The 26854-nt window shown below is 35.7% G+C and overlaps 1 protein-coding gene and 1 long non-coding RNA gene across 12 annotated transcripts in view; one reads left to right on the top strand and one right to left on the bottom strand.

Moving 5' to 3' along the window:
• The window catches only part of ACSS3 (acyl-CoA synthetase short chain family member 3), a 183340-nt gene that overhangs the window by 131489 nt on the left and 24997 nt on the right, over positions 1–26854 (bottom strand). For all 6 annotated transcript variants that reach the window (XR_944720.4, XM_047429549.1, NM_001330243.2 and 3 more), the window contains exon 2: positions 20018–20162. Coding sequence is in view for 4 of the 6 variants with exons in the window: in NM_024560.4 (NP_078836.1) it covers positions 20018–20162 (145 nt within the window). In the remaining 2 variants the exon portion in view is untranslated. The remainder of the gene's footprint in view (positions 1–20017; positions 20163–26854) is intronic.
• Positions 3864–26854, top strand: part of ACSS3-AS1 (ACSS3 antisense RNA 1) — a 32061-nt gene continuing 9070 nt past the window's right edge. For 2 of the 6 annotated variants that reach the window (XR_001749225.2, XR_001749227.2), the window contains exons 1-4: positions 4051–4138; positions 5209–5323; positions 11670–11756; positions 24894–24953. This is a non-coding gene — a long non-coding RNA (ACSS3 antisense RNA 1). Of the gene's footprint in view, positions 4139–5208; positions 5324–6856; positions 6945–11669; positions 11757–24893; positions 24954–26854 lie in introns of those variants that run through there. The other 4 variants (XR_001749226.2, XR_007063390.1, XR_001749229.2 and 1 more) reach the window with 3 other exon arrangements.

Here is a 26854-nt window from a genome sequence, read left to right as displayed (position 1 = left end):
TGCAGCACACCAACATGGTACATGCATACATATGTAACAAACCTGCACGTTGTGCACATGTACCCTAGAACTTAAAGTATAATAAAAAAAATTCAAGACCTTGTGTGAAACAAAGATCTCAAAATCGCAGGTCACAGCCAAATGTGACCAAGATGTATTTAAGTTGGGGCCATATCACATTTTAAGAAAATGAACCAGCATATTAAATTTAGTAGGTTTCACATACAAATCTAGATCTCCAGTTTCTCTAGAAAAATTGTGAAGTCTAGCAGCACCAGGCCTGTGTTCTTGAATAACAGCAATCAATTGAACCAGATGATCAGCCTAGTGGTTTGCCATAGAACTCACTATTCCCAGGGGCATTTATCATACAGCTTGCATTTTTTTTCATTCTGAGTTTAAAATATATTTTTTACCTCTTATTTATTTTATGTTATATGCTTACACCATAGTTCCCTAACCATACAGAAAGTGTGATACATACCTACAATTGATTTTTCTCCCATCCACCCTCTTCTGTAGGCATCTGAGTTGTCAACCACTGCCCTGAAAACAATTTTTAGTTAAATGAGGCTGCACCAGTCCCGTGTAACCACTAGATGGAGTCTATTTGGCCTTGCTTGTTTCAGCTGCTCCTCAATGTTTTGATAACCTGATAACCACACCAGAGCTGGTCTACAGACAAAAGGTTTACAGAATCAATAGTACGATTTTCTTTTCCAGTAGTTTTCAGGGCTAAATGTCACTCTGGTAAAATTTTCCATTATAATTTGTAAATCTAAATATATATGTATGAGAATATGCATGGGAAAACATATGAGTTCATAATCACTCAAATAAAGTATTATTGGAACTCCAAAACAGAAGGCATTTGATACTGCTATTTCAGGGTTCACCTAGTTTTTATCAACTTCAGGTGGAAAATTATCAAAGAAGAAAACAGGTATTATTTTTATGGAATGACATATTCTTATCCTACCATAAATGTCTGAGTGTAGAGTTACAATTTCTATTATTAGCAAAAGGGAAAATATTTTAATATAGGTTGTTTATAATAAATAGTTTTTCAACTGAAGAAAAGTTAACCATGTGCCGTTCACCCAATTCACATTCATCTTTGCACCTTCTTAAATTTGTTTTTAAATTTGTCAATAACTTGATGGTTTTACACAAGGATAGACCAGTAAAATTGATTTTCAGTCTGACATCAAGGGCAATACAGATCCCAGGGGAGCAAGGCCAGCTAGCATGAGGATACTATGCTACCAATGTGTGAATTACTGGGCTGCGAAGGAAGCCTAGAGGAAATGAAAAAATGTATTTATTTAGATATAACAATGTGTGACTCTTCCCACTAGAAATTAGATGAATCATTTTGGTACTAATTTAAAGCCATTTTAACACATAAATGTCCTGTCATTGGTTCAATTTATGTAGTATCAGCTGTATGTCCTAAACTGAGGTTAAGTCTACAGGTACAAAAATAAGAAGGAAATGGTTGGTCCTTACACCAAAGAAATTTGGAGTCTGGAAAAAAAAAATCACATACAGGAATAATAATTGTAAAGAAAATGCAACAACTGAAATTTATATATTATAAAATGGTATGCACATATATTTGGTTTATAAATAACATAAATATAACATATAATGCATCAGACAGAAGTAAAAGCTTTAAATTTCAGTTATAAAATGAAAACATATTGCTATGAATAATGAAAACTAAATTAATAAAAAATTTTATGTTATCATTCTGGAAAATCTTTCAAAAACAGTCTTTGGGGTAGTATAACTTTGTGACCAGATGCTCATAGCTCAAATATAAAGATTAGTCAAAATTGGCAAAAAGCTATGTTCTACAGAACAAATTATCACTTGCTTCACAAATAGCAAGTGTGCTCACCTAAGGAAAATCATGCTTGTACGAAAAAAGATAGTTCCCTAGTTTCCAAATTGTAGTAAAAATGCAGTGATCATGGGCAACTTCAAAACCACATCAAAGAAAACTGTATGAAAAAGCAGACAGGGAATGCATATTTTCAAAATGCCACAATGTTACATTGCAAACCCTGGTCTAAACCGTAACAAAAAATAAAACTAATTTAAAAACCAATTATAATATCTGAGGAAACAGATTACTAAAAGTATGGATAAATGAATTGTTCTTGAGAATATGTATAATTTCCATAGAAAGAGTTATATAAAATACTTGCACCTTACTTTTAAACATATTAATCATACACATTTTTGTTTGTTTTACTTGTACACATACAGGCAGCCATTGAAAAGATTAAAATTTTAACTACAATGAACAACTTATTCTTTAGTCCATGCATTAACTATGCATTCAGGTAAATATCTGTGAAAATAATCAGTTATTCTAAAACTGCTTAAGATCTGGAATGATAGTAAAACTATCTTTTTTGGAAGAGAATTTTTCAGGAATATAAATATTTTCATATAACATAAGAAGCTTCTAGAAATGTAACATTTTTAGACAGTTACAATTTATTAGATACAGCATTGAAATAATTTTCATTGAAGATGATATTATGCTAAGCCAATTTATTTTGAGATATGTCTCTTAAAACCAGGAAAGTTAGAGATGTTATCTAAAAAAGAAAAATCTTTCTTTTAAAGATGAAAACATTACATTTACACTTACAAGTAAAATGTATTATTATTTATCTAAAACACAGAGGAATACTTATTTTATATTTAAGAATCGCATTGTATTAAATTTTTCAAGAACAATTACAAAACGCTATCTTACATTCAAAATAGTTATCTGATAGTGGTCTAGAAAACATTTACTAGCACATTTCTTCTCAAATAATTTTCTTCAAATGAAAGAGTAAATACCATTACTCAGAATTATCATTTTTCTCATTACCAGTTTCTTCACACATGGGTTTCAATCAATATTTAGTCATTTTCAGACTATGTATTCACAAGCAAAGTGAAATAGATAATTATTTAATCCCTTTAGTTCAAGCTCAAAATAATCAGTATTTCAATAATCTTTGCTTTCAAGACTACTGTGATTTTCAGACTGTAATTTCACAGAAAATTAGTTAAATCCTGTATTTCCCTATGTATATGTGCTCAGTCTTGATAAGGAATATTGTCTTCCATTTCCTTGATACTTATGTTAAAATTTACAAGAAAATCATCAGAATTCATCACATCTTGTAAAGCATATTTTGTTAATTTTAAAACAGTATTTCTGTGTAACAGGCCATTGTGGACAGAGAAAATAATTCTACGTCAAGGAGAAGTCCAAGGTCTAAAAGAATGGAAAATGCAATTGATGCCTGTTATTAACACACAACAGGACTAGGGTGCATGCAATAAAAAGGAAAGAAAATACACAGACAAAGAATAATTAAGGATTGCATCCACTTTTTACCATTTTAACATCTCTCCACTATAGACATTAATAATTGGGTAATTGTAACTTTCTCCTGCTTTTACTCACTGGAGAGTTGCTGCCAATATCTCTAATCATCACAGCATGTGCCATTTGGCTGAAAAAGTGAAGGCAGTTTAGTATAGAGAGAGAAAACATTCAGGATGAAGTGGGTTGTGAGATGAACTGGAAAGGCATGAAGAAACAATATTAGACATGATACAGAGTCTTGTTATGCCCATCGAGTTTAGACTAACCCGAAAAACAATGTGTAATAATTGAAAAATGTTCATCCTCTTTAAAAGTAAGTGCTTTCCACATTCTTAAAATGTAATGATTATTGCATAAACTAGAATCATTAATGTAATGATTATTGCATAAACTCGATTATTGCGTAATAGGGGTAAAAATAAATAAGCTTATTTGAGAAATATTAAGAATGGGGCCACAGTTTGGGTTTTAGCAACTGATTGGAAAGTGATGCCATTCACATTGGACACGTTTAAATTTGAGACGCTAGTGGAACAACCATGTATAGACACCTACTCGGCAATCCTGCATATGATCTCAACATCAGAAGAGAGATGTGGGCTGATGACACAGAACTGAGAATAGCCAGCGTTGCCACTGGGAGTAACCATCACATATGTGGCAAAAAAGGCCATTGGCGCAGATATAATCACCCAGGCGGGATGTGTAAAATGGAAAAAGAAGGCAACCTAGAAGCAGGTAGTGAAGGGACAGGCAAAAGAAGCATTTAAGAAGGATAATTAGAATGAACACAGGAAAGAAAGGAAAATGAGGGCAGAATGGTATATAGAAGTTAAGTGAAGACTGGCAGAGAATGGACAAAAATGTTAGACATAATAAAGAGAGGAAGTAAAATATTGAACACCTATTGGAATTAATAAGAAGAAAGCATTAATTACCTTAGCTAAATGAGGCAGTAGCATATTTTAGAGGGTTTTGGTTATGTGTGTGGTAAGGAAATTTAAAAGGCATTTTTCTGAAGTTAATCAGTGAATGAAAATAGATAAGAAACTAGCTAGTAGTAGAAACATTTATGTATTTTTTTTGTTTTGTTTTGTTTTTTTTTTTTGAGACGAAGTCTCGCTCTTCTGCCCAGGCTGGAGTGCGGTGGCGCAATCTCGGCTCACTGCAAGCTCCGCCTCCCGGATTCACGCCATTCTCCTGCCTCAGCCTCCCGAGTAGCTGGGACTACAGGCGCCCACCACCACGCCCGGCTAATTTTTTGTATTTTTAGTAGAGACAGGGTTTCACCGTGTTAGCCAGGATGGTTTCGATCTCCTGACCTCGTGATCTGCCCGCCTCGGCCTCCCAAAGTGCTGGGATTACAGGCGTGAGCCACCAAGCCCGGACAATTTATGCATGCTTTTAAGAGAAAGAGCCAGCAGTGAGATAGGTATAAGATAGATTAACAGAACAAGAGCCCTAAAAAGAATTGATAGAATGGCTCCAGGAGACCAAAGAAAGATTACCTTCTATTTTAAAAGGAGGGAAAGAGAAAACAATGGGTGTGGATACAGGCAAGTCTGTTGGTCTGGTGATAATAAATTTATATAATCATTGCTAGGTTTGAATCAATGTACCCTGTTAAGCTTGAGGCACAGAGGCAGGAAAGCCAAAAGTTTAAAATGGCCTTTGGAGAGTAAAAGAGAAACTTACTCGAGAAATGCTAAAGAAAAAAAGAAAATGCAGCATTGAAGTCCCAGTGGACACTGGATACCATAAATTTATATTAAATCTATATTTGTAGTTACGTGATTTTTCTTTAACAGGATTCAACGTATCAGATACAGTAATGAAGACAATAAGAAATTGGATTGATCCAGGTCTGGAGTTTTGCCACAGAGTGAAATGGAACAACAATATGCAGGAGAAGTGAGGATACTGGTAAGAGACGAGTTGTGTGGTTAAACTAAAAAACCTAACCCGGATAACAGAAAAGTGAACACAGAAGAGACCCTTACCTAGGGACTACACACCATCAAAATCGTTTAAAACTAGTATTTCATGAGGCCAACAAATATATTAAAAAGTGCTCAACATAACTAATTTTTAGAGAGATGCAAATCAAAACCACAATGAGATACCATGTCACACCAGTCAGAATGGCTATTATTAAAAAATCAAAAAACAACAGGGGCTGGCAAGGCTGTGGAGAAAAGGGAACACATACACACAGTTTGTGGGAATGTGAATTAGTTCAGCCACTGTGGAAAGCACTTTGGAGATTTCTCAAACAATTTAAAACAGTAGTACCATTTGACCCAGCAATCCTATTACTCGGTATATACTCAAAGGAAAATAAATATTTGGTAGAAAATAAATCTTTCTACCAAAAATATACATGGACTCATATGTTCCATCACTGCAGCACTATTCACAATAGCACAGACATAGAGTCAACCTAGATACCCACCAATGGTGGACTGGATAAAGAAAATGTGGTACATATACACTATGGAATACTATGCAGCCACAAAAAAGAACAAGATCATGTCCTTTGCAGCAACACGAATGCAGCTGGATGTCATCCAAAGCAAATTAACACAGAGACAGAAAACCAAATATGGCATGTTCTCACATGTAGGTGGGATCTAAACATTGTGTACATATGGAAATAGAGATGAGAACGATAGACACTGGGCACTGGGGACTATAGAGAGGGGAGGGTGAGAGGGGGGTGAGAACTGAAAGCCTATCAGGTACTGTGCTCATCTGAACAACAAACCTCAACAACACGCAATTTATCCATGTAATTAACCTGCACATGTACCCCCTAAACCTAAAATAAAAGTTCAAAAAAAACCTGTGGTATTTAAATAGGTATTGTGTCTAAAAATGCATGCTATCTAAAAATGTAGTTTTATTGCACTGTATAAGAATACGAGAGGTTTAAAATAGACACTCTAAAAGTTATAAGCCCTAATTTACATATATTCTCTAGCCTTTCTCCACCTTCTATCTACCAAAAAAGCAAAACCGTAGGATCTTCTCATGTATCTGTTTCCAGCTAGCCTTCACAAAATCTTCCTTTAATTTTTTGAAAATTATATCCATGATTGCCCCTTTCCCTCCACCATTCACCACAGGATTCAATTTATCCCACCTCAAGAGATATTTAATTGAATCTGTTTTTCTCTAAAACTAACATTTCCAATAATTTTTAATTCACATTCATTTATTTCCCTCCCTTATGAGTACTGCAAGAATATTGATTTTTTTTACTGCAAATGCATTATATTTAAACTATATTATATGTTAAGCAGTTGGGTGGCCAGACTGGAACCCAAACACCACTCAGAAAAGTACCATTGATAGATATATAGAGAAATAGATTACAAATTCCTATTTAAAATTTTTCAAATGATTTTTTAAAACATAACACAATTCAAAGTTGATTACTTTCTGTACGCTTCCTAGAGTATTTGTAAAGAAAATATCCCAAGTGCTGAAGAAAGCTTTATTACATATAAAAAATATGTAACCCACCTGGACTAAAATGAAAAAGAAAATTCAACTATTAGAGAGGTAACTTTTTACAGTTATGCATTCACATATACAAGCATTCTGAAAAATCTAGCATAATTCTGTGGCTAATGTACACACTTTCCCAAATGAGTGTTTGAAAAGGTACAGAATCTACCACACTATATTAAAAAAGACTATTCAATTCAACACAAGTTTGTGTAAGTTATCTAGATAAGGTTATATTCCTTCAGTGAACATAATATGATAGTATGATAGTAATAATTGCCTCACATATTTGTTTATACAATAATAAACATGCAAAATGTGAAACAAAGTTGTTACTTTAAAATTGTCACTGTTGTCTGCTATATACACTTCATTAAAGGGCTAGCGAATAATATTTTTTAAACAACATTAATTTCTACTGTTAATGAAGGCCAGATTCCTTTTCTCTTGATCTAATAAATTCTTTATTGTAGTGTTTCTCCAAGTAGAGTCGGTAGAGATATTCTCAGGGCCCATGAGTTCTCCGTGAGAATTTTTTAACGTTGTGTTTTCATTTTGATACAATTAAAAAATAATAGGCTGGGCGCGGTGGCTCATGCCTGCCTGTAATCCCAGCAGTTTGGGAGGCCAAGGAGGGCAGATCAAGAGGTCAGGAGATCAAGACCATCCTGACCAACATGGTGAAACCCTATCTCTACTAAAAATACAAAAATTAGCTAGGTGTAGTGCCACGCACCTGTAGTCCCAGCTACTCTGGAGGCTGAGGCAGGAGAATTGCCTGAACCGGGAGGTGGAGGCTGCAGTGAGCCAAGATCACGCCACTGCACTCCTGTCTGGGCAGCAGAGCAAGACTCCATCTCAAAATAATAATAATAATAATAATAATAATAATAATATAGCATACTCTGGATTATCTGAGCACTCATGCAGTTTCACTGTTTATTTTTGTAATCTCATGCAGAATACGTAAAGGTCAGATAAGGTTATGGCACATTGTATAATCAAAGCCTCTATGGAAGTTCAATTACTAATATGTGACAAGAGAATTGAGGCATCACAGGGAACATGTCACCGAACTCAAAGCCCCAGGGTCACAGCATCAAACACACTTTACAATCAGTCATTCAGCTCCAGTAGAGCAATATCATTCATTATAGTAAATTAATATTGTCATATTGAGCTTGATTAGCTTTGTGGGTTTGTTCTTACCCTGCCTATAACTCAGATTTGGCTTTATTTATGTACTAAGCTGTAAAAAGAGAACATTAAGGCCTAGGCTTAATAATACACTAAAATAAAAATAATTTAAGTAAACACCAAAAGTGTGTAAAAATGTTTTGCCTTTATGAAGCATTTATATGCTTCACTATTTCATGAAAAAAAAAAGCCAAATTGGTTTCTTAGAGGCTTTTTTTCTCTTAAAGAAAGACAAATATAAAAGATGCAAAAGAAGTCAACAGGAATCCTGCTGCATTGTTTAGATCAATTCTGCTGTGATTATTTAATCAAAGTTCTAATTAAACAAACACCCCCAGCACTTCCACCGGCAGTACATAAAACATGACAACTACCCTGACTACACCAACCACACTTCCCAGGATTGGGCAATGTTCCTGTTAACCTTTACAGTTTCTTTGATCAATACATCTCAAAAGCCAATCAATATAGGTGAAGGTCTCATAGAGAACTTGCCAAATATCCCAGGAATGGTACAAAGACATGAGATCATTGCAATAGCTGGGTCAGTTTTAACAACATCTACATCGCTCAACCAAAGGAGCTGTACACATTTAAAGAGAAGAAAAATTCACAAATACAGTGCATACACTAGTAACTAATAAACAAAACAAACATAGATCATGGTATGTGCCAAGAATTTATGACAAATATTCTAAAATATATCAAATTTCCCATAAAACCTATACATGATAAAGTTAATATTATTCAGCTTTGTAATGGAAATGAAATGCTTTTAAGTCAAGGTTGGCATGAGAAAATGAACAGTCAATATCTCCAAGGTCTCTAATCTTGATAATAATTCTAATGAATGCAACCTATATTGATTTATTCAGATTTATTTACTTAAGTATTACATATATCTACCCAGTGCACAAATGTGAGCATAAAACTTCCAAATGAATTAAAATAATTTAGTGGCATCATTTTTCATAGCTATGTATTTATCTATTTCAGAAAACCTTATATGAAAAATACTTTGTCTTATATACTCAAAGTGTGATTCTAATATATTAATTTGCACCACTTTAGCCACTCAGTGTCCTCAATTTATGTTAGTTAGCTTTATCCTCTACTTGTTATGAAAATTGTGCTAGATTAAATGATTTTATAGTTTCATATGTTAATTTTTAAAGGTCAGAAACAGAAAATTGTTGATGCATTCAGCTGTCTTTACATTGCTGTATAACAGGTACAAGTGTTCATTGTGACCAGCTCTCCTCACTTCCACTTGTAAGGACATTTTTTTTCTTCTTCTATTCTCTTCCTACTAAACTTAGACTGCCTGTCTCCTTCTTTTATTCTCCAACAATCTTTCTATATTGTTTCCTACTTAATTTGTCTTGTTGTCCTAGAACTTAAGCCAACAAAAGCAGTTGGTTTTGTTCTCAGGGTGCACATTTTCATTATTAACTATGTCAAATCCACCTCTTGGATAAATCTTCTGCAGACCTTCAGGGGACACCTGTGGAAGAGTCACCTATGTGTGGGGCACACACTTCTATTTTTATTACTTGACCCAGCTTCTACATCACCTCCACAGTGAAGTGTTGTGGGAAGTCAAGGACCCCAAATGGAGGGACCAGCTGGAGCCACGGCAGAGGAACAAAAATTGTGAAGATTTCATGGACGTTTATGACTTCCCTAATAATACTCTTATGATTTCTTATGCCTGTCTTACTTTAATCTCTTAATATTGTTATCTTCATAAGCTGAGGATGTACATCACCTCAGGATCACTGTGATGATTGTGTTAACTGTACAAATTGATTGTAAAACATGTGTGCTTGAACAATATGAAATCAGTGCACCTTGAAAAAGAACAGAATAACAGTGATTTTAGGGAACAAGGAAGACAACCATAAGGTCTGACTGCCTGCGGGGTCAGGCAGAATAGAGCCATATAGCATAGACAGCCTATAAATGGACGTGCAAGTAGGGAAGATATCACTGAATTCTTTTCCTAGCAAGGAATATTAATAATTAAGACCCTGGGAAAGGAATGCATTCCTGGGGAGAGGTCTATAAACAGCCGCTCTGCGAGTGTCTGTCTTATGTGGTTGAGATAAGGATTGAAATACACCCTGGTCTCCTGCAGTACCCTCAGGCTTATTAGGGTGGGGAAGAAACCCCACCCTGGTAAATTTGAGGTCAGACCGGTTCTCTGCTCTCAAACCCTGTTTTCTGTTATTTAAGATGTTTATCAAGACAATACATGCACAGCTGAACCTAGACCCTTATCAGGAGTTTTTGATTTTGCCCTTTGCCTTGTGATCTTTGCTTTGCCCTTTGCCTTGTGATCTTTATTAGCCTCAGAAGCATGTGATCTTTGTTCTCCTTTTTGCCCTTTGAAGCATGTGATCTTATGACCTACTCCCTGTTCTTGCACCCCCTCCCCTTTTGAAATCCTCAGTAAAAACCTGCTGATTTTGTGGCTCAGGTGGGCATCACAGTCCTACCGCTATGTGATGTCACCCCCAGCAGCCCGGCTGTAAAATTCCTCTCTTTGTACTCTTTCTCTTTATTTCTCAGATCGGCCGACACTTAGGGAAATTAGAAAGAACCTACGAAATATCGGGGGTGGGTTCCCCCAATAGTGAAGCCTTCTCTGAACTGCTGTGGCCAGGTTGGTCCTTTCTCCATGCTACAAATGCACAAAGCTTTGTTGTTACATTATCACACTACCATTCAGTAGCTTTTTTGTATTTCTCACTGGGCAAACTATAAATTCCTGAAATTCAGGAATCATGTTTTAGTTCATCTTTATGGCCCCACTGCCTAAATCAATAAATAATACACAATAAGCATTCAGTATGTGTCTGAGGAATACCTCACTGAAGCCTTTGTTCTTAATCTCTAGCATGCCACCTATGAGACTTCAATTTCAGGTATTATTTATTTCCCTGGACTTACAATTTATTGACATTAACAGGTTACAATTATTTACATGTAAGATCTGATATTTATTTTGCCTGTGAAATGAAAGAGTACTTGTGGCAGGAACTCCTAACTCCCCATCAAGATGCCTCCACCTACACTACTTTCTCCAGCCTTCCTAGCAGCTGATGGCCAAATGGGATGTGTGTAGAAAGCATATATGACATTTCTCTGTGTGGATATTAAAATAGCATGTCCATTCCTCTATATCCTCCTCCACCTTCCCAAGAGTTGGGACATACATATCTTTGCCACAGCTTCAGCGATGCAGATGAAGGCAATGAGCTATAAGATGAAGGTATAATAAGACTTCATAATCTTGGGTCATGCCAAGCTAAACCTCATAATCTTTAGATTATTATAAAAGACAAATGCATTATTTAAAAAATTAAGCCACTATTTTACTGCACGTCCTTATTTTAGCAGCTTAGCCTTTGACCTAACATTTAAAAATTTGAGTGGAGGGGGGGATAGTGTATCAGTTATTAAGTAAATGTTTAATTATGAAAATCATCCTTAAAGTGTATGTGTGTATGTGAAAAAAATAGAACTAAAATACTTACAACAGATAATCTTCTTTTCCCAGAATTCTACTTGAAAATTATACAGAAACAATTTCTTAGAATGCTCACAAAAGACCTGAAAACATGGGGAGGAAGCAGGGCATTTACAGGTAACTGCTGCATAATTGGTTCAATCAGACTTCTTTCAAACACACTGGATGTAGCCAGGGATCCAAGACCAGAAACATACGCAGAATAGCTTCCAGAATCTCACGGCACAAACTGTATCTATCCTATCCCTTAATTTCCCACATGTAAGTAAATACTGCTGTTCTAAGGGGATTTATGTTATGGGGTGCCGATTCATTTGTCATCTCCTTGTTTCCAATGTTATCTACTACAGTCTCTTCATCTTCAGAGATGCCAAAGTGATTTCTTTGACAATATGGAGCTTCCCATCATCTTTGGAATTAGATACAGTCTTGACCATGGCCTGCAAGGTTCTATATGATCTGACTCCTGGATACTCACCTAACCTCACTTTCTACCATTCTCTTCTCATGAGCTCTGAGTCCTCATGGCTTTTCCAATGGTCTGAATCTACTCTTGTTTCAGAGCCCTAATACAATTTTCACTCAAATATTCACATAGTTCCTATCCCACCCTTTATTTCAGTCTATGCTCAAATGTCATTTCATAAGTGACAAGTACTTTCCCTGACAAGCCTATCTCAAATGGCAGGCGAAGTCCCTCTCTAGCCTTTTATTGTTCTTCACTTATACCTAATTTATATTGTATTATCTTTTTATTCATAGTACATATTCCCAACTAGAATGCAATTTTCTTAAAGATTATTTTATGCGCTACTGAAACCCATGGTGTCTCTAGTAGTGTCAAATATATATTATGTGTTCCACAAGCATGTTTTCAATAAATAAATTTCACACCATGATCATTCTAGTCCAAGAAAATAAATTCAAAGCAGATGGCCTACAGATTTTCAGATAACTTTCTAAAAGACCAGGGTTTAGCCACCCTGAAGATAATTCAAATCTAGTAAGAACCTATCAGTGAATGATAAATGCATTAAGCAAATGTAAGAATAAAAGCCATGGACCAGATTTCCAATTTCTAAAATGGCAAAGTAAGTTAAATATTTTAATCAGGGCTTTAAATGAGACAGCACACAGACCTTCAAAGTCAGAAAATGAACTAAAATGAGAAAGATTCTCACCCTGTTTAAAAATAAAAATTCCTAATATATAAAAACAAAAATCACAATGTGATGGCAAGTGATACTTTTGGAAATAATCATTTATCTTAGATAATGATTAGATTTTACTTTCTTATAAATGAATTATTAAATGTTTATTCACAAACTAATTCACTACATAATATGACTCCATGTACTATGAGGCCTACATTAGCTACTGTGTAGGTGAAAAACTGAATAAAATATTACCCTTATCTCAAGGAGCTTTTTCTCTGGTAGGAAGATCATGTAGGTACCCTAATAACTGGATTAAAAAAGCAATAATGAACCAGTACATTAGGAGAAGGTGTAAGCAAAGTGCTCTGGACTTCAAAGAGTGGTAAAATAGTTTCTGGTATGGAGGGGAGTGAAAAGAAGTAAGTTTATACTTCCAACAGTGGTCTTGATTTCATGGACAATATAATTTCTAAAGATCTGTCTGAGAATATTCAAGGGATTGGTTGTATTGTTGCTCTTTTGGATTGAGTATGAAATAATCTTTAGACACTTATAATTGTGAATAAATGGGGAAACTAGGAAATACTAAACTGTTGTTTCATCATTTAATAATTCCCTATACTTTCTATTAAAATTTGTCTAGTGCTTATCTTCTTTATATTAAGTCCTCTCAAAATTTAACCTAAATTTTAGTAAGTTGTAAAGTACTTTAAACCAAAGTTCCAGTTACAATTTTGATAAAAATTTAAGCCAGTATTTAGGATATACTCATCTATTTAAAATGAAATACAAGCCTTTCTGCTTGTGTACATTATATGTACACAAGCATTATACAATATATACATTATACTTGCATTATACAACATAGCTCACAGAAACATATGGTTGGGTCAGACCACTTAAATGTGACTAGAACATTTTAACATTAATAAATGCATTAACACAGCATCATCTTCTATAGATCCTTAAATACCGGCACTGGTGCTTCCTGTTGCATAATATTCTACTGGCAAGCTTTCATTTCCAAATTTGCTTTCAAAGAATGGCCAGTAGAAACTGAGAGAGTGTAGACCTTAACATTAATTATTTTTTAAACAGGGGCAAATGTCTTCTCAACTTTGATTCCTAAAATCATTTAACTCACCATCAGCTCACTAAAGAATCTTTATTATTTTTGTTAAGGTTTTCAAATATTGGTAAGGTCTTCTCTTTAATTGTGAGAATGTCTCTCTCCAAAACTTCAAAACATGGCATGCTAACAATCCAATAGAAAAATTAATGGACAAAAGATATTAATGGTATTTCAGAAAAGAGCATCAGCATTTGGTCAGGTGTGGTGGCTCAAACCTGTAATTCTAACACTTTGGGAGGCTGAGACGGGAGGATTGCTTGAGCCCAGGAGTTTGAGACCAGCCTGGGATAGAGCGAGATATCATCTCGGCAAACTTAAAATAAAACAAAATAAAAGACAAATGTCCATTAAGCACAGGATAAGAAGTTCAACTTCATTTGTCATCAGGGAAAAAAAAATTAAATCACAATGCAATACCACTATGCATTCACTAGAAAGGGCAAAATTTGAAAGATCTGGAATTGTCGACACTGTTTTCACAGCTGGCATTCTCATAAATTGCAGATAGGAATATAAATTAGTGCAACCACTCTGGAAAATTGTTTGGCACTATCTACTCATGTCCAACGTGGGCATACCCTACGAACAATTCATCTCATTCCTAAGCACGTCCCCAACACAAATGCATAAATATTGTCAACAAAATTTGTGTACAAACATATTTATAGCAACATTGTTTGTAATAGTCCCAACCAGACATTACCCAAATAACCAAACTACAACCTCTTGCAATGAAATGAATGAAACTCATCACCAGAAAGTTGAGTGAAAAAATCCTGACACAAAAGAGTACATTGTATTACTCAATTTGTATAAAGTTCAAAAGCAGGTAAACCTTTAGATGTCTGAATAGCAATCATGTAGGGGCTGAGGATGACTAAATAGAGGCACAACAAGGGCTTCTGGGGGCCTGGAAATATTCTGTTTCTTTGTTGCTTACATGGAATTATTCTGTTTGTGAAAATCTAACAAAATTTATTCTTGTGATCTGTTCTCCTATCTGAATATATATTATATATCAATAAAAGTTCAAAAATTGCATGCCAGGAAAAGAAATGCATGAACGACTATAACTTCTATCTCATACTAGCATCATTCCCCTATTTACCAAGCATGGAAAAGGTAATTTAACTTACAGAGACACACTTTTTAGTGGCACTGACCATAATATAAATGAAGGTTTTATTGTTTATTTAGGAAATTTAAGGAAAGGAAACAGATAATAAAAGCCACTGCATCCTTTCCCCTGAACAAAGACAACCATTGACAGGGCTGAATTTCTGCAAGTCCTGGTTTTTGTGTCTTAAGTGTTTGCTTAAGGAAATACTGATATGACAGATGAAAAAATGTCAGATTATCTTACTCTGACATATGTCTGAGCAGATGGAATACATACTTTGAAGAAAATATCCTACAGGGCAGGGGTTGGAAGGAAGAATTCTCATGGGACATGGCCCTTGATTTCAGAATAATTTTCTCCTCTAAATTTTTTGACCTTTATAGTTACAACTACTGCCATAGTTATGTTTCAAAAAATTACCTTTAGTTAAGATAATAGGAATTTGCAGTTTGAATTAAATCAGGAAAATTTAACACATAATTGGTTTTATCAATTTTCCCAGTATACATGTATTCATGAAAATTGCTCAAATGCCCTTCAGGGGACACGTTCTTATTTAGTGAATAAATACATAAAAATTCATAATTGTTGAAATAAAAAACAGAGCACACTTGCCACACACAGAAGTAAATTCAACATAAAATTAGTGATGGTGAAAATAAAGATACTTTAAAATGACTAGTACTATATATATAAGATATACATACACATAAAATACACTCTTACACATACCTTTTATTTCACTGAGGCTTAATATAACGACTAACTTGAAAAGAGCTAACAAGAGCAAGAATACAATAAAAACATACATGTCCTCTAGAATGCAGATCTTCTGAGTTATAAGTGTGGGAAATCCAAGGAGGATATATTCATCTTGAACTACCAAGCTGAATGTAAATAAATTAAAATCCTTCACAGATAGAAATGGAATTTACTTGGAAAGATAATCCAGTTCCATTACTGGTACAATTTAAATCTAAGACATTCCTGCAGTAAAAGAAGCTAGAGTCACTTGGAAATTTCAAAAAGTATTTCATTCATTTATTCTTTCATTGACTCATTCATCATTCAACAACTATTCACTACATGCAAGGCACCATTCTGCAAACAAATACAAAGTCACTGCCTTCGTGGAACTTAGATTCTAGAAGAGAAAATGACACTAAAAAAGAGAGACAAATAAAATGTAAGGAATGATACTGAGTAATAAATGCTAAATTAAAAAGAAAGTGAAAAAATGAATTTATGAAGTGGTGTGGAAAGGAACATTTGTATTTAGTATGGTCAGAAAACATCTCACTGAGAACGTAACATTCAGGTAACATGGACCATAAGATATCTGGAGGAAAAATTATTTCTAGCGGAGGGTAGGCAATTGGGATAATTTTAGGCATTACCTCTTCCAGAAATCTCCCTAGACTCTATTTACCTCTGGCTGAGTTGGCTGCCTTCACTTGTGTTCCTACAGAATATAACATTAACCCCTATCATGACCCTTATTCGGTTATATTGAAATTGCCTGTTTACATGTTTTCTTATCTCTTTGACAATAGGAAATGGGTTCATTTACTTTGTATTTCTTATTCCTATCAGGGTTTGGCATACAAAACAAATATTTATTGAGTGAATGATGGATCTTGAACTAGGCCCAAATCTCTGTACAAAAACCTTAATAAAGGGTTATTTAAAATATTTTCAGATCTATAGAAAAAATGATAGTTTTAGAAAACCTCTACTTCTGAATCATTCTGTAAAATTTTCAGATCTTTCATGTTACTAAGACAAGGTAGCCTGTCTTGTTGGCTCATTAATTAAATAATAAATACAGACAAATTTAATCAAGTATTATCTAGCCAGAAACTTCTGGTAGAAATGAAACATGGGAGAGTAAAACAAGTAATGTACAAAGGCACTTCTTTTCGTTTGTTCTCAATGGAATTACCCATTAAATCTTTCTTTCTCTGTCTTCTCTACTTAATAAAATAAAGGCCGCAGGGAATCAGAAGCAAGTAATCAAAGTAGCACACAATGCTTCTCTCTTTCCTAACAGTTCTTCCTTTAGTACTTTAGAGAAGAAAAGCCTGGGGAATCAGAGGCTGTCAGCAGGTGAGAGAAACAGTCCTTTTAACTACTTTGATGTCAGGCTAAACTGAAACCAGGGAACCAGCACAAACACAGAAAGGGTTTGAAAGATGAGTTAGCAGAAAAGCTTCTAAGCAAAACATATGTGTATAATTGTCATATACACTTATGTAATTAATTAATTGAAAACCAACAAAAGAAAATGAGAATGTCAACAATTCTTCTTATTTTAGGTTTCTCTAAAGCTTTTTCCCTGACTGCGATGTTTGATTATGTATCAAATTAAATATGTGGCTATAGGTAATGTTTTTACAATATGTAAGTAAATTTACGTATTTGTATACCAATAAGAATTTGCCAGTATTTTCATGAGAGTGCAGCAACATGCCAAAATCACAGGCACGATTTTTAATCATAGACTAAACCTCTTCTAAGATGAAAATGCAATCCTAAAACAAAACATAGATTATAATAGGTTTTCAGGAAATCGACATTATCTCTTATAATGGAATGCAGCCTCGTAAGAATAACAAGCTCATTTGGTAACAGAGTGCCTTTCTAACTCATCCCAGTGTGAGAGCTGTCTCTGTATACTTAATCCCAAAAATACAGTTTTCAGTTACAGACCAATAAAAAATACCAAACGATATATTGCAGCATTATTTTGCTTTTTTCTGTCTTGAGCTGCCCAGCATTTGAACCCCATTCTTATTAGACTGAAATTCCCCTTGTTTGCATCCTAGAGGGAGACAGGTCCCCAGTTCCTACTATTAAATCAAAGGAGGACAAGATATTTCTTCCCCACTGCCTGGTTGTTTAGGCAAGTCACCTAAGTTTGGCCAACTAGTGCTGTATGATAGACGCCTTGACAGCAATGACTTGACTTGACCATACCCTGAGAAAGACCCTGTATGACAGGCACACCCAAATATGTGTTCAGAGTTCTGAGCTAGGGAATACAAATCCAGGAGTGGCCAATCCACACATCCATTCCTTATTTCTGAGGAGTATGTCAGCCCTATCCCGTCTGGGATCGAGGCCCTTTGCTTTAGGTTAAATGGAAGTTGCCAGATGGAGACTGTTAGGGGGATGGTGCTAAGTGAAGATGCTATAGAAACTGCATGCTTTTTGCAAGTCGTGCAGTTCTCCTGCCCAGCCTGCCACCAGTGGCCTCTCCCCTGGATGTAAGGCTCCAGTAAAACCCCATGTCTTGTATGGGGCTCTGGGTCTCTTCTTTGGCCTCTTGAACCTGGTGCCATCCCCACTGGAGTCAATAGGGGTTCAGCATGACAGATGTTACTACTCTGTCTTTCAATCTAGAAGATTGACTCAAGGCAGTGAGTCTAGTTATTGGACAATTTGTGGGTTCTTCTTAACTCCTCACTTCTGCTCTTTCTCCCTTAGGGTTTACCATTTTTCTAAGCCTGGCTCTTCAGTCTACCCTTTTCATAAGGTCTTTTTTTATGTTTAAATCAGCTGAGGTTGGAATTTGTTGCTACAACCAGGCTGATACCCAGCCTAGCAAACTGGTCTAACTCTTCTCTCTTATTTGCAACAACTCAGGACTGGAAAGGCGATCCTTTAGTCTGAGTTGCCTTTCTTGAAATTTCTTACAAGGCAAAATAAGAACTTGCTGATGAAAAAGAATATGATTTCAAAGAGTCAGGGAGAGTTGATGAAACTTTCTAAAAATGGAATGGAACCCTTAAATGGGTTCAAAAAGCAAAAGGAGAGAATACAATCTTAAAAGCCTTCATGTCAAAGCAAATGCCTCCAAACCCTAGCATGACAGACTCTGCTCAACTTCAGTTTCTCAACCAGTGGCAATCTTACCACTCAGCAGACATTAGCTATGTGCGCAGACGTCACAACTCAGGGAGGTGGGGTTGTGTTACCAGCATCTTTAAGGTGGAGGCAGGGATACTGCTAAATGTCGTGCCATGTACATGGCAGCACCCACAACAAAATATTATCTGATCCAAAATATCAACAGTGCCAAAGTTGAGAAATCCTGCCTTGCACCATTACCTCTCTTTAAATCATTTTTAGTAAATGTTCCACAGAGCTTGAATAACTTTCCCACAGTCCACAATTCCCAAATACTTTTTATAATTACTTCTGAGGCCTTATTTCTACCCTAATGTTAATAAAAGAGAAAAATCTCATAACTCATCACTTAATATCATGATCCACCTAAGAACTGCACAGATGGGAAAGAACTCAAAAGAGCAAATAAGCCAAAGGAATGAACATGTTCAAAGAGCTACAAAGGCCCAGGAGTATCTAAGGCAATAACAAGACATCTAGGGTAAAAGAAAGGGTTGTGTGCATAGTCAAGAATTTTGGAAAATGAAGCTTGGAAGGAATGTTATGACCAGATTTCAAAGTGTCTTAGACACCACAGCAATCTAGATTTTACTCTCTGAATAACAGCATTTTTTAAGAAATAGATTTTTAAGTGGCATAGAGAAATATGTTGTTTCTTAGGAAGAACACCCTGGTGATCATCTAATATGAGCAGAGCCTAGTGACAGGGAAGGCAGTTAGAAGACTGTTTCAATAGTACAAGATCTGGGGAGCAGCCAAAGGTGATGGTAATGTGGATGAAGAGTAAAGACCAGAGGAAGAGTGACACATATTCTCAGGATTTGCCATCCTCTCCCTGTAAAATGAGCATCATTTAGCACTGTGAAACATAAATTGAAGGCTATAAAAACTGTCTACATGAGTTAACACATCTGTATTCATTTCCAATGTGTATCAAAAGAAAAGCATGGCAACATATTTCAATGCATTAGAGAATTGAAGGCTCTACAATGAGAATGTATGCTATTTAAGTAATTTCTATATGAATTCATATATACATATATAAAGTTTATGATATTACCTGCTCCAGAACTTCTTTATAGGTAAAGGTTGCTTTAGTGTTTGTAACAGGACTGTCATAGATGATAGCAATCTTATCCCCTTTACCATTTTCAATATGACGATCAACGGCATTGTAACAAATGTTAAGCATTCCTTCCACAAACCTGAAAAATAATTGGAAAGTAAAGGTGAATGATGGCTTTAAAAATATATTGTCACTTAATGAAGTTATTATATTTCTAGTTTGATAGAGCTGGCCTTAAAACAATGTTTCCTAGTGCATTCTATGTCAAGTAATGACAGCTGTAAACTAGATATTTAAGATGGTACACAGTATACTTTTTTATTTTAATAAGCATGTATTTATTTTGATGTGCACTAAAAAAATACATACCTCACACTTCCAGCTGGCGACTTTGTGGATTTTATTGCTTAGGATAAAACTAGGGTATAGAGCACCAAAATCAGCCTTTTTACATAGATGAAATAAATGGTATGTAAGTGCAGTGCAGAGGCATTGGGGATTGTGAAAGGGCAAATGGCAGATGTGTGACTGAAGTTTTGGTACCTGCTGCAAATAGAAAAACTTACCGAAAAATTCTATTCTGCTCTGAAAGAGCTATAAGTATTTTTTATTTCAGTTAAATGTGATGCCTACAATTTCACAAAGAATAGATAAGCTCTTTTCTGCATGTTTGAAATGCTTCATAATTTGAATAAAGAAGGGACATGCATATAAAATATTTATTTTTGAAAGCCTTTGCAATTCAGTGCTTTTCATCTCTTAATCGATCAATGTTTTCCTTCGAAAACACAGAAACCATGTAGATACATGGAATAATTTTTTAAGGAAATATAACTCATTTTTCTAAAAGAAAAGGCTTTACATATGCCAAATTTTTAGTAAAATGGGAATTAGAATAAAATATGCAAGTACAGTAATGGTCCATTTCTTCCAATGTCAGACTACCAAATATAGTAACAATGCAAAATAACAGGAAAATATATTGAAGTAAATAAAAAAGCTCTTGTTAAATAGCTGAGTATCACTTTCAGGTATTCACTCAAAGAGCCCTGTGTGAAATGAAGCAGTGGATTAAAAGCAGCTACAGATACAGTGGCAGCATTAAAAAATCATAGCCACAGAGGCCGGGCTCAGTGGCTCATGCCTGTAATCCCAGCACTTTGGGAGGCTGAGGTGGGTGGATCACGAGGTCAGAAGTTCAAGACCAACCTGGCCAAGATGGTGAAACCCTGTCTTTACTAAAAATACAAAAAATTAACCAGGCATGGTGACAGGTGCCTGAAATTCCAGCTACTCGGGAGGCTGAGGCAGAGAACTGCTTGAACCCAGGAGGTGGAGGTTGCAGTGAGCCAAGATCACGCCACTGCACTCCAGCCTGGGTGACAGAACAAGACTCTGTCTCAAAATAACAATAATAATAATAATAATAATAATTAATAATAATAATAATAGCCACAGAAAGCAACAGGAGGAAGAATCATTTAATCAAAGTCAAATGACCCTATGTATTTCAATAATAGCAAATTTGATTACCTACAGCATAGCACAGAATTAATTTATATAATGATTCTGAATTCCCCTGTGACTGATCTCATGTTTGTTCAAAAATATTACCTCTTCCCAGCATCCTACTCTTAGCAAAAGTATTTTGTCTCTTTCCTCGGCCCTTCCTCCATGAGTGGAGACTCTCTCTCTTGATTTGGGGCTCATCCATGTACTTGCTTTGGCTAATGCAATGTCAGCAGACACGATGCAAGCAGAGGCTAGCTCTCCTGCACCACTACCTTCTCCAGGAGAACAGCCTCCCAGATATAACTGCTCCCTCCTCAACATGGCACCAAGAATGAACACCTGCAGGTGGGAACAGAGCCCAAAGAAGCAGGGAGCCCACACCAGCTAGATTTATGTCTTGAAGCAATGCTCCCAACCACCCCCAACCTAGATCAGCTGATGCCTTGACCACCTGCAGACATATGGAAATAAACTCTTAATAGTTCATTTTACGGAGATTTTTGTGGTTCCTGGACATATAGTATAATTGTGGCCATAAATATCTAACACACCAACAAAAAGGTAAAGTTGTCATTCTGTGGTGGAAATAAGGAAAGGTGTTTTATAGAATTTCCCACAAAAACATTTATATATATATATATATATATATATATATATATATATATATATATATATGTATATATTTGTACCTGAAAAAAAAAACATTTCTGGCAGGGAAACTATTTACTTGCTAGAATATTTCTTGATAATATCATTATTCTCTTTTCCTTTATCTATGACTTCTATTCTACCATTCTTTGTGATCAATATTCAATTATGTTCATGATATTTTACCCAAAAAAGGGGCTTCCCTCAATTCCACAGAATTTACTTTGTCATTTATTTGCATTATTCTTCTCCTACTTCTTTGCCAGCTCTTTTTCAATATGTTTGTTGCATCTTGTTTTCTCTGCTTCATCTTTTATTGGCTGTGATATCTCATGTTCCATATGCATCCCTTAGCTCACGCTACAGTTTCTCCCTAGATGATGCCTATACTCTTCTGGTTTCAACTTCCACTTTGATCTCCAGCCCTAACCTTCTTTTCTGAGCTCCATACCTTATAGCCAAAAGTCTGCAGGACATCTCTACTTAAAAAAAATAACCTGTCTAAAATTATACTCATTTCACTCCACCTCCACCCCCACCCCCACAGCTCCATCACAACTGCAAACTTGCTCCTCCTCCTGTTTTCTAAATTTCAAGGAACTATGTTGCATCCAGTGGCCTGAATTAGAAACTCCAAAGTCAGATTTGTACCCTCACTCTCCATATTCATTTATATGTAATGTCACATCTTATAGAGCCTTTATTGTCTCTGTAATGGTTTGGTTCTCTCACTGATTACAATGAGTGCATCCTAATTAATCTCCCTGTTTTAGACCTGACCCCATTCACTCAAGCCATCTCCATATGCTGCTATAATGGCTTTGTTCATTGTAAATATTATGTAAATATGTCAACAAAAATATTTCAAATAGTGCTCAAAATTATTTAATATATTTCTCTAAAGTTCAAGATAAAAACTATATACCTCTAGATCAGCAGTCCCCAACCTTTTTGGCATCAGAGACTGGTTTCATGAAAGACAATGTTTTCACCGAACTGGGGTGGGGGAAGGGTATGGTTTCAGGATGATTCAAGCGCATTACATTTATTGTGCACTTTATTTTTATTATTATTACATTATAACATATAATGAAATAATTATACAACTCACCATAATGTAGAATCAGTGGGAGCCCTGAGCTTGTTTTCCTGTAACTAGACAGTCCCATCTTGGGGTGATGGAAGACAGCGACAAATCATCAGGCATTAGATTCTCATAAGGAGAATGCAACCTAGATTCCTCACATGTGCAGTTCACAATATGGCTTGTGTTCCTATGAGAATCTAATGCCACCCCTGATCTGACAGGAGTTGGAGCTCAGGCAGTAATGTGAGCAGTGGGGAGCAGCTATAAATACAGATGAAGCTTTGCTCAGTCACCTGCTGCTCACCTCCTGCTGTGTGGCCCAGTTCCTAACAGGCCACAGACTGGTACCAGTCCATGGCCCTAGGGTTGGGGACCCCTGCTTTAGATGACATTCAAAACCCATTGATCTACTCTGTTTCATTTCCACTCATCCAACTTTACAACTCCAGCTGTACTGATTACAAACTTTGCAGTTCCTTGAATTCAGTCAGCTTCCACTTCTGTGGCTGTCCTTCATTTTACCACCACCCTCCCCAAGTAGTTCAAAAGCCCTGTGTACCTGTGTATGTTTCTCCACCATAGCACTTACCACACAGCTTAACTTAGAACATTGCTCCACTCAGATGTTTCCTTCATTACACTGTAATCTACCTGAATGCAGAGACTCTTTAAAAAGAATCTTAAAGACTACAAGAAGAATATGACACTGTTTTAGATCCTAAGATTACAAGGAGAATATATACAGCACTTGCCATGTATTAGTCACTCAATATTTGTTTGATGAATGAATGAATGAGAATGTTACTAAACTTTCAAGAAGCATAGGATTTAGGACCCAGACAGAGTAACTAGGGAAGTTTTTACTCTCCATTTTAAAGTCAAGAGAATAGAGATAAGAAGAATACCCAGGGCACGTGGTTAGGAATTGGAGAAAGCCATACCTGAAACCCAAGTCTAGATGTCTAAACTGGTGTTATAGTTGGCAACATCATATTCACTCATTCATTTATAGATGATTTTACTTTTTTTTCTCTGCTCCAGTTCAATTGATTCTTTTCTCTGTCATCTGCATTCTGCTGTTGAGCCCATTCCTGAGTTTTCATTATCATTATTGTATTTTTAAGTTCTAAAATTTCCATTTGGTTATTTTTTATATATTTCATTTATTTGCTGATGATTTCTACTTATTTATGGAAACTTTCTAAAAAAATTGTTTTGAATGTGTTCATAATTGTTCCTTGAAGCACTTTTATGATGGCCGCTTTAAAATACTTGTCAGGTAGTTCCAAACTCTGTGTCATCTCAGTGCTGGCACCCATTGATTGTTTTTCTTATTCAGAGTGAAATGTTCCTGATTCTGCATAACGCATAATTTTTGGATCTTTGTGTAATGAGTAAATCATATCTAGACATCTCGGGTCTTATATTACATCTCGGGTCTGCAGATTACTGAATAACCTGATTTAACATACGCTCTTTGGGTGATGGTTATGCTGAAGCCCAGATTTCACCACTATGCAATATATACATGTCACAAAGCTGTACTTGTACCTTCTAAATCTATAAAAATAAAAATTAAAAAATAAACAAAAATAATAATCTGATTTAAATCTTCTGTTTTAGCAGGTCTTCTCTGACACTGTGCTGGTGGGCAGGGAGCCACCTCATTACTACCAGGCACAGGTATAAGTCCCAATTAATCTCCAGGTTCCCTTGATACCACATCAGCTGGGGGATGGCTCATGAATGATGGGTCAGGGTAATAATTCAAGCTCCCAAGAGGTTTTTACAACCTTTCATCCTAGATGAAAGGAGAAGGGCACTTTGTGACTGCTCCCCCATACCCTTCATGTCCTCCCACATGGCTGGGTGGGAGGACCTTCTTACCTCCTTACCTTAGCCAGAATGAAAGTTTCAGCTCCCCACATAAACTAATCTGACCCCACCAAGGGAGGAGGCAATGTCTGGGGCACCTTGCTACACCTTGGCAAGAGCAGAAATCTAGACTCTCCAGCAGGTCTTTACTGGTAAGGATGAAATTGAGGCCACACTATTTTTCTGGAGTGTTTGGCTGGATTAGGACAGCACTCACCTAAAAGTTTTCTGTCTTGCCATGCTGTCCCTTTCTTGGTTCTGTAGTCACAGAGAGAAAGTTTTTATTGGGGCTTTTTAAAATCTGTGCCTATTGGTGCTTCTCGGTTGCTAGCTTCTTAAGAACCCAGTGTGGGTTACAAAAAGAAAGAAAAAAAGAAAACCCAGGGAACTCATGGCCATGCCATTCCTCACATCCCCAAATTTCCTAGCTGGTTGACCTTCGCTCTACCTTTCAGTCTTCTTATGTGTGTTTGATATACAACATCCTAGGTTTTTTATTGTATTTGGCAGGAAGTATATTTTCTCTGTCTTGTCTTGAAAACAGAAGTCTCTAAATAACATTTATCAATCTTTTACTGTAGTCCAAGACTTCATATCATATATGTTAACAAATTTAATTTTAAAAAACCTTTCCCTATGAAGCAGGTATTATTATTAATCCCATTTTACATACAAGGAAACTCATCACAGCAACTTGCTCATGAAAGTCTGATTACAGAACCAAACCCTCAAACATACAATACTACTTCTATAAACAATACTCAAAAAACTTGAACTTGGAATTTTTTTTCAATTGTTGGCAACTTTAGAGTAGTTTAATATTGAAAATATTAACAACCTAGGATTTTCTTTTTTAAAAGTACCTTTAGACAATTTTTTTTTTAAACAAGAGTACCTTTTGGAGGAGGCAATATAAAGATCCAAATGAGGTAGGTTCTGTAGGCAATGTTACACAGAACTGCTGCAGGAGATAGCAAATCAGCATGGTCCAGAGGCAGTTACAGGTAATGAATCTACCAATATAAATTGGCTAAGCTTAGAGATTGGTTTACTGCGACTGACTAGACCAAGTGACCTGCAAGAAGCTGCCCAGCTCAAAGATTTGATTATTCTACTATGACAAGTTTCTTATTTCATTTTAAATAAAATCATTCCAGTAAAGGTCAATTGAATGCCTTCTATGTGCTGACTCTCTACTGTTCCTTCTAAATTCGTGGGCAGGTTTTAAATGGTTTGTCTCCCCAGATTATAAAAGTAACTAATGCTCACTGTAAAAATACTAAAAAATATACTTTAGAGTATTTCCTATTCTTTCTATATACAAACACACTTGTTATGTAGTTTCATAGTTTGCCTCTGTGTTGAGGACTACATTACGAGTTTTTCCCAAGGGCCTGAGGAATTCTCAAAAATTATGGTAATGATGGCATAATATTCCATTCAATGGCTATTCAATAATAAAATTAATCCTGTGTTGTTACTAATTCCCTTTCACAACATTGTCATTATTTTAAATGATCCTAGGATGATGTTTCCTGCAGACAAATATTGGTCACACTGCTTTCTAATTACATTAGCAGGCTACGTTCCCACAATCTAACACATGTGTGCACATTAAAATTGAATAATCAAATTGTTTTCTGGAAATACTGAATTAATCTATATTATCATCAGCACTCCCTGAATCTAACATGAGCATCTAACTCCTC

Source organism: Homo sapiens, chromosome 12 (genome assembly GCF_000001405.40).
Source record: "Homo sapiens chromosome 12, GRCh38.p14 Primary Assembly".
NCBI lineage: Eukaryota > Metazoa > Chordata > Mammalia > Primates > Hominidae > Homo > Homo sapiens.
This window is presented reverse-complemented; position numbering and strand designations above follow the sequence as displayed.